This window comes from Homo sapiens, chromosome 4, assembly GCF_000001405.40.
Source record: "Homo sapiens chromosome 4, GRCh38.p14 Primary Assembly".
NCBI classification, from domain to species: Eukaryota; Metazoa; Chordata; class Mammalia; order Primates; family Hominidae; genus Homo; species Homo sapiens.
This window is the reverse complement of record NC_000004.12, coordinates 2151685-2165743: the sequence shown is the minus strand read 5'-3', so window position 1 is coordinate 2165743 and position 14059 is coordinate 2151685. Positions and strand designations below refer to the sequence as shown.

Sequence of the window (14059 nt, the reverse complement as noted above, 5' to 3'; positions counted from 1 at the left end):
AAAGTACAGAGAGTTCCCATACTCCCTGTTCTGTACTCGCTGTTCTGTACACACATGTACAGGCTCCCCCTCTATCAACATCCTCGACAGAATGGTACCATCGTTACAGTCAGTGAACCCACACTGATACATCGTTATCGCCCAGAGTCCGTAGTTACACAATATACTCTTGGACTGCTCTTGGGTGTAGGGTTCACTCTTGGTGTTAGACATTCTGTAGGTTTAGACAAATGTATGATGACATACATCTACCATTACAGCATCATACAGAGCAGCGCCACTGCCCTAAAAATCCTGTGCTCTGCCTATTCCTCCCTCCCTCCCACCAGCCCCTGACAGCCACTGTGCTTTTTACTGTTTCCACAGTTTTGCCTTTTCCAGAATGTTATAAAATTGGAATCACAGTATGTAGCCTTTTCGGATTGACTTATTTCACTTAGTGGTAGGCACTTAAGTTTCTTCCATGTCTTTTCACAGCCTGATAGTTCATTTCTTTTCAGCAGTGAATAATATTCCATTGCGTGGATGTATCACAGTTTATTTTCCATTTACCTACGAAGAACATCTTGGTTGTTTCCAAGTTTTGGCAATTACAAATAAAGCGGAGATAAATATCTGTGTGTAGGTTTTTAGGTGGACATAAATTTTCAGCTTATCTGGGCAAGCACCAAAGAGTATGATTGCTGGATGAAATGATAAGAGTACATTTAGTTTTGTAAGAAACCGCCAAACTGTCTTCCTGGGTAGCTGCACCATTTTGCATTCCCACCAACAATGAATGAGAGTTCAACAATGAATGAGAGTTCCTGTTGCTCCACATCCTTGCCAGCACTTGGTGGTGTTGGTGTTCTGGATTTTCACCATTCTAATAGGTGTTGGGTATGTTTTTATAAGATCACTCTTTTTTTTTTTTTTTTTTTTTTTTTTTTTTTTTTTTTTTTGAGACAGAGTCTTGCTCCATCGGCCAGGTTGGAGTGCAGTGGCATGATCTCAGCTCCCTGCAACGTCCACCTCCCAGGCTCAAGCAATTCTCCTGCCTCAGCCTCCCGAGTAGTTGGGACTACAGGTGTGTACCACCAGGCCTGGCTAATTTTTGTATTTTTAGTAGAGATGGGATTTCACCATGTTGGCCAGGCTGGTCTCAAACTCCTGACCTCAGGTAATCCACCCACCTTGGCCTCCCAAAGTGCTGGGATTACAGGCGTGAGCCACCACACCCAGCCTTTTTTTTTTTTTTTTTTTGAGACAGAGTTTCACTCTTGTTGCCCAGGCTGGAGAGCAATGGTGTGATAGCAACTCACGGCAACCTCCACCTCCCGGGTTCAAGCAATTCTCCTGCCTCAGCCTCCTTAGTAGCTGGGATAATAGGCATGCACCACCACGCCTGGCTAATTTTGTATTTTTAGTAGAGACAGAGTTTCTCCATGTTGGTCAGGCTGGTCTCCAACTCCTGACCTCAGGCGATCTGCCCACCTCTGCCTCCCAAAGTGCTGGGATTACATGTGTGAGCCACCATGCCCAGCCAAGATCACTCTTTTAGCTGGTTGGAGAATGGGGGATACTCATTAGTAGGCTGTCACTGCAGTCCAGGTCATGGCAATGAAAATGGAGCAAAGCAGATGGAAAGCAGATGGATTTTTAGAGGATTTTTAGAACAGAAAGGACCTTGTGATAAGTTCATGTGAGTGTGAACAGAAGTCAGCATGTGGAGTAGTTTTGAGTTTTCTGAGTTGTGCACTTGGGCAAATAGATACAGCCACTACTCAGGGAAAACTGGAACAGGAACTGTTTATGGAGGGGGAGGTCCAGTGTTCAGCCTTGGATATGTTAGGACAGAAGTGCATATGACACATTGATGTGCCGTATCACAAAACAGCAGTTGGGCCTGTGGGACGGGGCTCAAGACAAGTCCCATGCTGGGAATCCACACTTGGAAGCTGCCAGCTGATTTTTACTAAAGTCGCCCTGGGATAATGGTCCTCTGCCCTGCCCGGAGATTTGGAAAACACGGATGCCCAGGCCCACAGCTGATCCCACGAGTCAGAATTGGGCGGGGGAGCCTAGTCATGGGCCTGCTTTTGAAGCTCCCTGTTGATTGCGATACGCAGCCAGCATAGATAACCACAGAGTTAAACTCCGAGAAACTGATCTTTAAAGGTCAGTGAGAGAAGAGGCACCAGCGGGAAATGAGTGAGAAGGGAGGTCAGACGAATGTGGTGTCTGCAGCCGGCGCAGAGCGCGGGTGAGCCCGCGGAGCCATGGTGGCTGATGGCGCTCCACCTCTGGCCCTCAGCCAGCACTCAGTGCTCTGTACACGGTTAGTGCGAGCAGTGTTCTCAGGCTGCTCAAGTCAAGATATACTGGGAGACTATTGGTTAGAAAGTTATTTTGTGAGTAAGTCATCAAGATAAGGAGAGTTAGAAGATCTTAAGCTGTTTTCTTGGCTAAGTATTTCCATGCACTTTCACCCACCTAGGGATAGCTTTTCTACAAAAACTGCAATTCTGGATTATACTGAGGCAAGATACCGCCCACTGTTAATGTTTTATGGCCACAACTCTTGTGTTCTCAGTCTTTATTCAGAGAGCACTATGATTTAATGGTTCACCTATTACATCAAAATCATATAATCAGTTCTCCCCCAAGTGGATTTATAGATTCTAGACAATTTTAATTAAAATCCTGGCAGGAGTTTTTTTTTTTTTTTTTTTTTTTTGGTAGGAACTGAAAAATTGATTCTCAGATTTCTGTGGAAATACTAAACACTAAAAAGAGCCAAAATAATCTGGGCGCGGGGGATCACTATTTAAGGACATAGTCTATTGAATATCAAGACTACTTATAAGGCAATAGGAATTACTAGGAATTAATTAAGCAATACCATGTGGTGTTGACTCGAGGGTCAGTAAATAGGCCAATGGACCAAGATAGAAAATCCACAAACATCAAGTCCAACAGAGCTTAAAGGTAAAAAAAAAATAAAATCGGGCCGGGCATGGTGGCTCATGCCTGTAATTCCAGCACTTTGGGAGGCCAAGGCAGGAGGATTGCTTGAGTCCAGGAGTTCAAGACCAGCCTGGGCAACATGGCAAAACCTCATCCCTACAAAAAACAAAAAAATTAGCTGGGCATGGTGGCATGCACCTGTAGTCCCAGCTACTCTGGAGGTTGAGGCAGGAGGATAGCTTGAGCCCCAGAGGTGGAGGTTGCAGTGAGCCAAGATGGTGCTGTGTCCGGAATTGGTGGGTTCTTGGTCTCACTGACTTCAAGAATGAAGCCGCAGACCCTCGCGGTGAGTGTTATAGCTCTTAAGGTGGCGCGTCTGGAGTTTGTTCCTTCTGATGTTCGGATGTGTTTGGAGTTTCTTCCTTCTGGTGGGTTCGTGGTCTCGCTGGCTCAGGAGTGAAACTGCAGACCTTCGCGGTGAGTGTTACAGCTCTTAAGGCGGCGCGTCTGGAGTTGTTCATTCCTCCCAGTGGGCTGGTGGTCTTGCTGGCTTCAGGAGTGAAGCTGCAGACCTTCGCAGTGAGTGTTACAGCTCATAAAAGTAGTGTGGACCCAAAGAGTGAGCAGTAGCAAAATTTATTGCAAAGAGGGAAAGAACAAAGCTTCCACAGTGTGGAAGGGGACCGGAGCGGGTTGCCGCTGCTGGCTCGGGCAGCCTGCTTTTATTCTCTTATCTGGCCCTATCCACATCCTGCTGATTGGTAGAGCTGAGTGGTCTGTTTTGACAGGGCGCTGATTGGTGCATTTACAATCCCTGAGCTAGACACAAAGGTTCTCCATATCCCCACCAGATTAGCTAGATACAGAGTGTCCACACAAAGGTTCTCCAAGTCCCCACCAGAGTAGCTAGATACAGAGCGTCAATTGGTGCATTCACAAACCCTGAGCTAGACACAGGGTGCTGATTGGTGTATTTACAAACCTTGAGCTAGATACAGAGTGCCGATTGGTGTATTTACAACCCCTGAGCTAGACATAAAGGTGCTCCACGTCCCCACCAGACTCAGGAGCCCAGCTGGCTTCACCCAGCGGATCTCGCACAGGGGCTACAGGTGAAGCTGCCTGCCAGTCCCGGTGCCGTGCGCCCGCACTCCTCAGCCTTTGGGTGGTCGATGGGACTGGGCGCCATGGAGCAGGGGGCGGCGCTCATCAGGGAGGCTCCAGCCGCACAGGAGCCCACGGAGGGGGTGGGAGGCTAAGGCATGGCGGGTTGCAGGTCCCGAGCCCTACCCTGATGGAAGGCAGCTAAGGCCGGGTGAGAAATCGAGCGCAGCGCCGGTGGGCTGACTGCTGGGGGACCCAGTACACCCTCCGCAGCCGCTGGCCTGGGTGCTAAGCCCCTCATTGCCCGGGCTAGCAGGGCCGGCTGGCTGCTCCGAGTGCAGGGCCTGCCAAGCCCACGCCCACCCTGAACTCCAGCTGGCCTGCAAGCGCCCCGCGCAGCCCCGGTTCCCGCTCGTGCCTCTCCCGCCACACCTCCCTGCAAGCTGAGGGAGCCGGCTCCCGCCTTGGCCAGCCCAGAAAGGGGCTCCCACAGTGTGGCGGTGGGCTGAAGGGCTCCTCAAGTGCCGCCAAAGTGGGAGCCCAGGCAGAGGAGGCGCCGAGAGCGAGGGAGGGCTGTGAGGAGTGCCAGCGCGGTGTCACCTCTCAGTACCACTGCACTCGAGCCTGGGTGACAGAGACCCTGTCTCAAAAAGAAAGAGAGGGAGAGAGAGTGTGTCTCACAGGGCATCACTGCAAAGCATTAAGTAAGGAGGGCTTGTTACATAAAGGGCCAGTGCATCTTGACCCCCATTTCATGCAGCACACAAACATAAATTCCAGGTGAATTGTGTATCTAAATATCAAAAGCAAAATAGTAAAGATTGGAGAAAATATAACAAGAGGACATCTTTAAGGCCTTGAGGTAGGTAAACATTCATATGTAGGACAGCAAATGCATCAACCATAAAGGGAAAACTTGATAAACAGGACAACAATCAAATTAAAAATCTCTAATTATGAAAAGACATCATTAAATAAGTGAAAAAGCCAGGTACTGTGGCTCATGCTTGTAATACCAACACCTTGGGAGGCCAAGGCGGGAGGATCACTTGAGGCCAGGAGTTTAAGACCAGCCTGGGCAACATGGCGAGACCTCATCTCTGCCAAAAATTTAAAAAATTAGCCAGACATGGTTGTGTGCACCTGTAGTCCAGCTACTTGGGAGGCTGAGGTAGGGGAGGATCACTTGAACCCAGGAGTTTAAGGTTGCAGTGAGTTATGATTGCACGACTTCACTCCAGCCCGGGGAACAGAGCAAGACCTTATGTAAAAAAAAAATTAAAAGTTAAAAAAGCTAGCCACAGAAGGAGAGAAGATATTTCCAATAAATATAACAGACCAAAAAACTGTCCAGAATAACAAATTTCTACAACCCAAGGAGAAAAAGACACACAAATCAATTTTTTAACTAAGCAAAAGACACGAACAGGGGCTTAATGAAAGAAGATATACAATTAGTCAAATATATGAATAGTGTCCAACAGCGTTAGTCACTGGGGAGATAACAAACTAAAACTACAGTGAGAGATCACTTCTCATTTACCAGAACAGCTAAAATTAACACCAGTGATGACATACATTGGCAAAAATGTGGATCAGCTTGAATGTTTATGTTTTGCTGAAAGGGGTATAAACAGGTATGTTTACTTTGGAGAACTGGCAGTATCTCTGCTAAAGTTGATGCAGCAGTTTCACCCTTCTTCATGTATGTATTCCACAGAACTGTGAACATACATTAACAAAAATCTCTGTACCAGCATTATTCATAATAGCCCTAAGGTGGAAAAAAACACATATCCATCAAAGGTGGAATGGGTAATGTTCTACATTCATGCACTTGAATACTACACAGCCGTGCAAATAAATGAAATACTGCTTCATATGTTGATGAACCCCAAAAAATGATATTGGACCAACGACAGGAAACAGGTAACCTGTGGTAGAAGTCCAGGTGGTGGTTAGCTCTGGGGAAGGAGCCAGTACCTACTGGGGAGATTGGAATGTTTCGTCGCTCGCTGTGGGTGGTGGTTAACAACTGTGCTCACTTTGTGATAATTAACAAACTTTTCTTACTCTCTTGCACTTTCCTATAGGTATGTTATATTTTGATTCTTAAAGTTAATTTTTAAACTCGTAATCCATTACTCCCTCCCTGAAATTATGCAGTTATCGAGCTATACGTTTGTAGGCACTGACATGTTATTTTACCTACCCTGGATTTAGATTTCGCTAACTTAAATCTCAAGAGGAATCTTATTTCCAAGCTTAACTGAGGTGTTTTTAGTGCCCATGTAGACATCAGAATGGTTTTGTAAGGGGTTAGGATTAAGACACTTGATAAACTTGAGTTTATTATGCATCTTTATTTTGGAAAATATGCTCAATTAGACCATTTATTATGAGGACTTTCTCCAGATGAAAATACGTGTTTAAAATGTTAAAATGGACGAATTACATTGGTAGTATCTATTTTCATGTTTAGTTAAATGCTCTGCGAGACCTTCATCCATTACCCAAGATAATTTTGGAATACAGGCAGGTAAGTTAATTTTTTTGTACGTAAAAGGTAAAAGGTGATGAGGGGGAACCATATGGCCCTGTGTCTGTCAACACAAATCCATAATGGCTGAAGTAGCCCTCCCAGTGTTCTCAGGGGAATAGAGTTTTGTCAGGTTAACCTTGTACTGGCACTGTTTACTTGTACCCCATGTGATTTTACCGAAGTCTGCAATCAGCCCCACTCGTGAACCCCAGGAGTCAAAATGGAAGAAGACAATGAGGAATCGGAAGTAGGTGGCATGCCACGGCTGTGTGTCGTCGGTGTGCAGGAGACGCCCAGCAGTACCTAGTCTCAAAGCCTCCCACAACCCCTCCCTGGCTTCTAGGTCTGCCAAGACCATACCGTAGTAGTGTTGTGTCATCTTGCACTTACATTTGCCAGGGATTTCATGAGTGGCCCCCTTCCCTCCCCTGGTGATTCCCTTTCTCTGTTCACACACCTGCCATTTCCTTCCAAAGTTCTCTTTTGGTTGTGAACCACGTTTATAGCTTTTGCCACTGCCCACAGCATAGGTCCTAGTATTCACTGAGCCTGTGGCCTGCTGTATCCTGAGGGCCTGGCAGCTGTGAGGGAGCACATTGGCTCCAGCCTGGCCCTTTCTCCCTGCAACGATGTAAAGGGGCCACCAGAGGAGACACTGTGTCAGGGTATTTGTTTATCTGTTTATCTTTGCAAATTTCCTGTAAATCTAGAATGATTCTAGAATTAATAGATCTATTTTTAAAGAGTGGAATGACATCTTTCTCTGTGGGTCAGTGTTATTTAATCCTGGTACCACCTAAGGTCATTCCAGGGCCTCTCGGAGTCATCTAAGGTGATAGTAGCAGCACGTGCCCGGCACTCTGTGAAACACTATTCACACTATTCCTGTTTAAAGACTTAGGCCGGGCATGGTGGCTCACACCTGTAATCCCAGCACTGTGGGAGGCTGAGGTGGGCGGATCACCTGAGGTCAGAGGTTCGAGACCAGCCTGGCCAACATGGCGAAACCCCATCTCTACTAAAAATATAAAACTTAGCCGAGCATGGTGGCGCATGCCTGTAATCCCAGCTACTCAGGAGACTGAGGCAAGAGAATCACTTGACCCCAGGAGGCAGAAGTTGCGGCAAGCCGAGATCACGCCACTGCACTCCAGCCTGGGCAATGGAGCGAGACTCCTTCCCCCCACAAAAAAAGACTTAAGACTTAAAGAAAATGATTATTCTTGTCTTTCCACCTTAGGTTCACAAGATCAAGTCAACCTTTGTAGATGGATTACTAGCTTGCATGAAAAAGGTAACAAGCTTTACAAAAAGATACTGTGATTAGGACTGTGGTTTTTGTATGAGTTCAGATACATATAGAACCTTTGTAATTTTAGTAAATGATGAAATCGTCTAAATATTCTTTTTTTTTTTTTTTTTTTTTTTTGAGACAGAGTCTTGCACTGTCGCCCGGGCTGGAGTGCAGTGTCAGGATCTCAGCTCACTGCAACCTCTGCCTCCCGGCTCCAAGCAATTCTCATGCCTCAGCCTCCCAAGTAGCTGGGATTACAGGTGTCCGCCACCACGCCCAGCTAATTTTTGCTATTTTTAGTAGACAGGGTTTCACTATGTTGGCCAGGCTGGTCTCAAACTCTTACGTCGTGATCTGCCTGCCTCGGCCTCCCAAAGTGTTGGGATTACAGGCGTGAGCTACCTCACCCAGCCGAAATAATCTAATATTCTTGAAACTATGAGCCATGATATTGGCATCATTTAGGTCCCCTGGCAGCATAGGTTGATGTTATGCCTTGAAACCCTCTGTTTATGAGGAAGCTCTAGCTGACCTGCTTTCACATCCACGATTGCATCTCTGTTCTGGACTCATTTGAGGAAGATGTTACTGTTTTAGTTCAGACTTGAGGAGACTGCAGTCAAGAGATGTTCTGTGACTCGTTCAAGTTCACACAGCAAGTGACAGAACCTGTCTGTGACGCACAGTCCCACCTCGAGCCCGCACCAAGCTCCCCACAGCCCAACAGCCCTTCCTCTCCCCATGCATGGGATTTGTAAGTGACATAAAGTCTTATGGCAGTTCCTACATGGGTTAGGGGGAAACCTCCTTCTTCAGCCTTCCCTGATCACGTGTCAGGAGTTTTGTAACCCCAAGGACATTTCAGGGTTGGAAGTTTAGGGCCAGCAGCTTGTTGGCCTCTGGAGGAGCAGCGAGTGTTGCATGTTGTGAGTGGAGGCTCCGCCACATTCTTAACTTCACATAGCATTGCTGGAGTTTACACTGATTCTTTTTAACTAATAAAGGGCTCCATTTCCTCTACATGGAATCAGACTGGAACTGTGACTGGAAGACTTTCAGCCAAGCATCCTGTAAGTTGTTTAAACAACTGTCTTTGTTAAACGCCATTTTCCTGCCTTGCTATTGAAGTTTTTTCTCCATATGTGTTTGCCTGTGCACTTTCTGTTTCCAAGAGGGGACTTCATACTGATATGTTGTGTTTTATTCTGTTTATTCTGAGAACATAGCAGGAGAACAAGACAGATGGGTTCTCTTCTCATGAAGTGCTGAGTTAGCAAGAGGGGGGCTTCACACCCAGAAACCCATGCACTCCAGTGTGCAGGCAAAAAGGACACCCGTACCCCATCTTCCTTTTCAGATTTGTGCCAGACAGGTGGCTTCTGATTTCCAGAAATGTGTTGAAGTATCTGATGCTATGATGAACAGCTCCATTTTTTGGTGGTTGTTGAAGCTGTATCTCTGATGAAGAAAAAAAAAAAAAAAGCTCTAAATTCCCTTGAACTTATGATGCAGCTTGCATCACACTTAAAGCACTTAACTTTCTAAATGGCTCTGTATTTTGAACTAAAAAAGACTCATGATTAATTTCTCATTATAGAAAATTCCTTAGATACAGAAAAGAAATAAAAATAGTAATAAGTCACTTGTTATCCACTGTGCAGAACTGTGGTATCTATCTTTCCACACTTTTTGCTAAGCACATATATTTATAAAATACAATTTTTTAGGCCAGGCGCGGTGGCTCATGCCTGTAATCCCAGCACTTTGGGAGGCCGAGGCGGTGGATCATGAGGTCAGGAGTTCAAGACCAGCCTGGCCAATATGGTGAAACCCCGTCTCTACTAAAAACACAAAAATTAGCTGGGCGTGGTGGCGGGTGCCTGTAGTCTCAGGTACTAGGGAGGCTGAGGCAGGAAAATGGTGTGAACCCAGGAGGCGGAGCTTGCAGTGAGCCGAGATAACGCCACTGCACTCCAGCCTGGGTGACAGAGCGAGACTCTGTCAAAAAAAAAATACAATTTTTTTCTACAAAAATAAAGCCATGCTATTTTATATTATGCTTTCTTATTTTAACATCTCTTGATATCATTCTACATTAATATTGATTTGAATCTATATTTAAATTTAAATATATGAATTAAATATGTGAATTATTTAAGTACACACTAACATATATATATAAATATGAATATGTATTCATGGTAAAGAAATACAAGTATGTGGAGGTTTACAGAATGAGCAAATGTTAGTCATCTTTCCCTTCCCTCCGTAACATGTGTCTGTCCCGTGGGTTCCCTCCATTAAGGGTCAGGCCTTCACCCAGGCATTTGCATAGATGGTGTACCGAGTGCATGCAGGCAGAGGGACACACTCAGGTGACTGTGTGAGGAAGAGGAAGAGAGGCTGGGATGGGGTGAGTTTGCGCTAATCGTGTGGCCTCTTGGGTGCATGGACACCCACTCTTGGTCAGTCAGCTCTCGGGCTGCCAGCTGTCTCTGGCCTTGCACTTTAGGGAGCTCTTCTGGGGTCTTTATCTAGCGAAGAGTGGTAGTAATAGCAATAGTAATGTGAATACCAATACCAGCACCAATATCCATGTGAATACCAGTGCCATCTCCTCTGAATGCAGGCACTGCTGCCACGTTACCCTTGGGCTAATTTCTCAACCAACCACAACTGCTGTAGTTTCTCTTAGTTGATACTTCTTATCTAAGAGTTATTTAGGAATTCTGCTGAGAAACTTTTCGTGGAGGTCCTTGCTTTTGTTTTTATGCAGTTATAAGTTTCTTTTTCCATTACATTTTCAGTAAATCTCTTGCTGTGTTTTATTCTCTTCCAGAAGTTTCTGAAGGGTCTGGTTTGTGAGTAGCACTCCTCCCAGGTTCTCAGTGAAGCTCTAATTTTACCTATTTATTTTTCTGTTATTTCAGTTGAACTTTTGGAAAGATGAGATGTAAACATAACATGTGCATTCAGCCATGACCTTTAACTGGAAGTTTGTGTCATCTTTTTAACAGCTGCATTGTATTCCATTTAATGGCTGCCCCTATTGATGGTCATTTAGATTGTTTGCAGTTTTAATTATTTTATAGAAATACCATAAACATACCTGTACTTTATCATAGCAATACCATACAAACTTCAATAGCAATACCATAACCAATACCATGAACATTTTTGGTACTTTTTTCTGTTGATTTCTATAGTGCAATTTCCTAGAGATAGAATTTCTGAGTCACAGTATATATGTATTTTTAAGGCTTTATGTTGCCAAATTAGCCTCTCGCCAAAAATAACATTCCCACCACATAGTATGTGAAATGCTTGGTCCCTTAATCCTTGCCAACACAAGGAATTTTCGTTTTGATTACTTTCCTGACTCATTTTTTCAATTTCCATTTCTTTAAATATTTGTTGAGGTTGACTACATGAAACAATTATTCTTCTTTGAATTGCCTGTTCATGTCATTTGCCCATTTCTCTGGAGGGTGTTTATTTTTTCCTATTGGTATGGAAAAGCTCTTTATATAATAAAAATTAACCCTTTATGAAATGTTGAATTATTTTCCTCCAATTTTCTTTTGCCTTTTAACTTTTAAGATATATATTCTGGTTTGCCATACTTAAAATGTCTTTTTTTTTTTTTTTTTTTTTTTTTTGTTGAGATGGAGTCTCGCTGTCGCCCAGGCTGGAGTGCAGTGGCGTGATCTCAGCTCACTGCAAGCTCTGCCTCACTGGTTCATGCCATTCTCCTGCCTCAGCCTCCCGAGTAGCTAGGACTACAGGCACCCGCCACCACGCCCGGCTAATTTTTTTGTATTCTTAGTAGAGATAGGGTTTCACCATGTTAGCCAGGATGGTCTCAATCTCCTGACCTTGTGATCCGCCCGCCTCGGCCTCCCAAAGTGCTGGGATTGCAGGTATGAGCCACCGCGCCTGGCCTTAAAATGGCTTTTTAAAATTATACAAATAACAGCCGGGTGCAGTGGCTCACACCTGTAATCCCAGCACTCTGGGAGGCTGAGGTGGGTGGATCACAAGGTCAGGAGATCGAGAACATTCTGGCTTACACAGTGAAACCCCGTCTCTGCTAAACATGCAAAAAAAATTAGCCGGGCGTGGTAGTGGGCGCCTGTGGTCCCAGCTACTTGGGAGGCTGAGGCAGGAGAATGGTGTGAAGCTGGGAGCAGAGCTTGCAGTGAGCTGAGATGGCGCCACTGCACTCCAGCCTGGGTGACAGAGCGAGACTCCATCTCAAAAAAAAAAAAATTATACAAATAACATGATATTTCTAAAGAATTCAAACAATAGATAAAAATGTAAGTAACAAAGTAAAAAGTCACTCAAAACTCCATATCCCCGCAATAGCCATCTTTAACATTTTGGTAACCATCCTCTAATTTACTTCTTTATGCACACACACATTTACATAAGTGGGATCACATTATATATGTTGTTTTTATTGTAGACACTTCTCTCACACCTACATACCTCAGCCCTCCACCCTCAATCCCAGTGCTCTTGGTAGCCCATGATTGCAGCCTAGAGCTTGTATATCCATATTTTCTTTCTGACTTATTATGCAATCTCATATAGGCCCATATATATCTGTACATATACACATAGAGACATGTACTTTGTCATTATTTATTTTACAGATTTAGAATTTTCCTTTCCTGCCTCTTGCTTTTTGCTCTCAGCAACAGCTTGTGGAGATCCCTGCAGCTCACCTGACAGAGGCCTGTCCCACTCTAGCTATTTGTGTTCCACATGTGGGTGTGTTGTACAGTTGCCCTCTAAAAGTAAAGCTGCAATGAACACCATGCACGTATGTCCTGTTGTATTGGTACTTGTATTTTTGTGGGACAGATTTTCAGGTATGAAATTACTGAGTAATTACTGTACTGGGTACAGAGGATATTACATTTTTACTTTTAATAGCTTTTATTAGATTGCCTTCCAAAATGCTTTCAGCCTGTCTCTGCCCTGAGCAATGTGTGGCAGAGCTTTCTCCACTCTCTATGGTGACTTTCCCCTGTACTGACATCCCTCATTGTTTCTGTCTTAGTGTCATCTTAGACAGGCTGTCCTCAGCTCCAAGATTATTTAAATACTCACCTCTGTTTTCTGATAGAACATTTGTGCTTCCATTTTTTTACACATAAAACTTGAATCCAGCTGCACACTATTTAAGAAAATACTATGTAGGTTACATGATAATGCCATAAAATGGCTAGAATTTCAGTTACTTTTTTTTTTTTGCTTAAAGTGCACAAAATACAGTTGACTAATATTTTTAAAAATCAGATTATTAGCCTGGGCAGCATAGCAAGACCCCATCTCTACATAAATTTTAAGATGCTTTAAATTAGCTGAGCATGGTAGCTAATTGGGAGGCTGAGGCAGGAGGATCACTTGAGCCCAGGAGTTTGAGGCTGCAGTGAGTTGTGATCGCATCACAGCACTTCACCCTAGGTGACAGAGCAAGACCTTGTCTCCTAAAAAAAAAAAAAAAAATCAGGCCAGGTGCAATGGCTCATGTCTGTAATCCTAGCACTTTGGGAGGCTGAGGTGGGCAGATCTCTTGAGCTCAGGAGTTCGAGACCAGGCTGGACAACATGGTGAAACCTCATCTCTACCCAAAATACAGAAAATTAGATTAGGTGGGCATGGTGGTGCACGCCTATGGTCCCAGCTACTCAAGAGGCTGAAGTGGGAGGATTGCTTGAGCCCGAGAGGAGGAGGTCACAGTGAGCTGAGATGATACCACTGCACTCTAGCCTGGTGACAGAGTGAGATCCCACCTCAAAAAAAAAAAAAGAAGAAAGAAAGAAAAAAGAAAATTAGGTTTAGGTTATAGCTGGTTCTCAGTATTTTCAGAAAGCTAATTTTCTCACACACACCCCCTCCTAAGAGAAAGTTATTGCTTCTGGTCCTTTATATGGAAATAAAAAAAGAAGGAAAAAAGAGTCATTGCTACCAGTTGTGCAAAAGTATCCTTGTGTCTCTTTGTAATATCTCCCTCCCCACTCCTCATCTTTTACCCATGTCCTTGGCCACCACTGACTTGCTGTTTGCCACTATCGATTCGTTTGCAGTTTCTGGAAACCTCTGTGAATGGAGCCACACAGCATGGACTCCTCCTGTCGGGCTCCTTTCACAGCGTTGTTACT

General features: G+C 44.6%; 1 protein-coding gene across 1 annotated transcript in view; it reads left to right on the top strand.

The window, feature by feature from the left end:
* POLN (DNA polymerase nu) overlaps positions 1–14059 on the top strand; it is a 170204-nt gene that overhangs the window by 76378 nt on the left and 79767 nt on the right. Inside the window, exons 14-16 of the mRNA NM_181808.4 lie at positions 6533–6589; positions 7833–7886; positions 8891–8956. Of these exons, the coding sequence (NP_861524.2) occupies positions 6533–6589; positions 7833–7886; positions 8891–8956 (177 nt within the window). The remainder of the gene's footprint in view (positions 1–6532; positions 6590–7832; positions 7887–8890; positions 8957–14059) is intronic.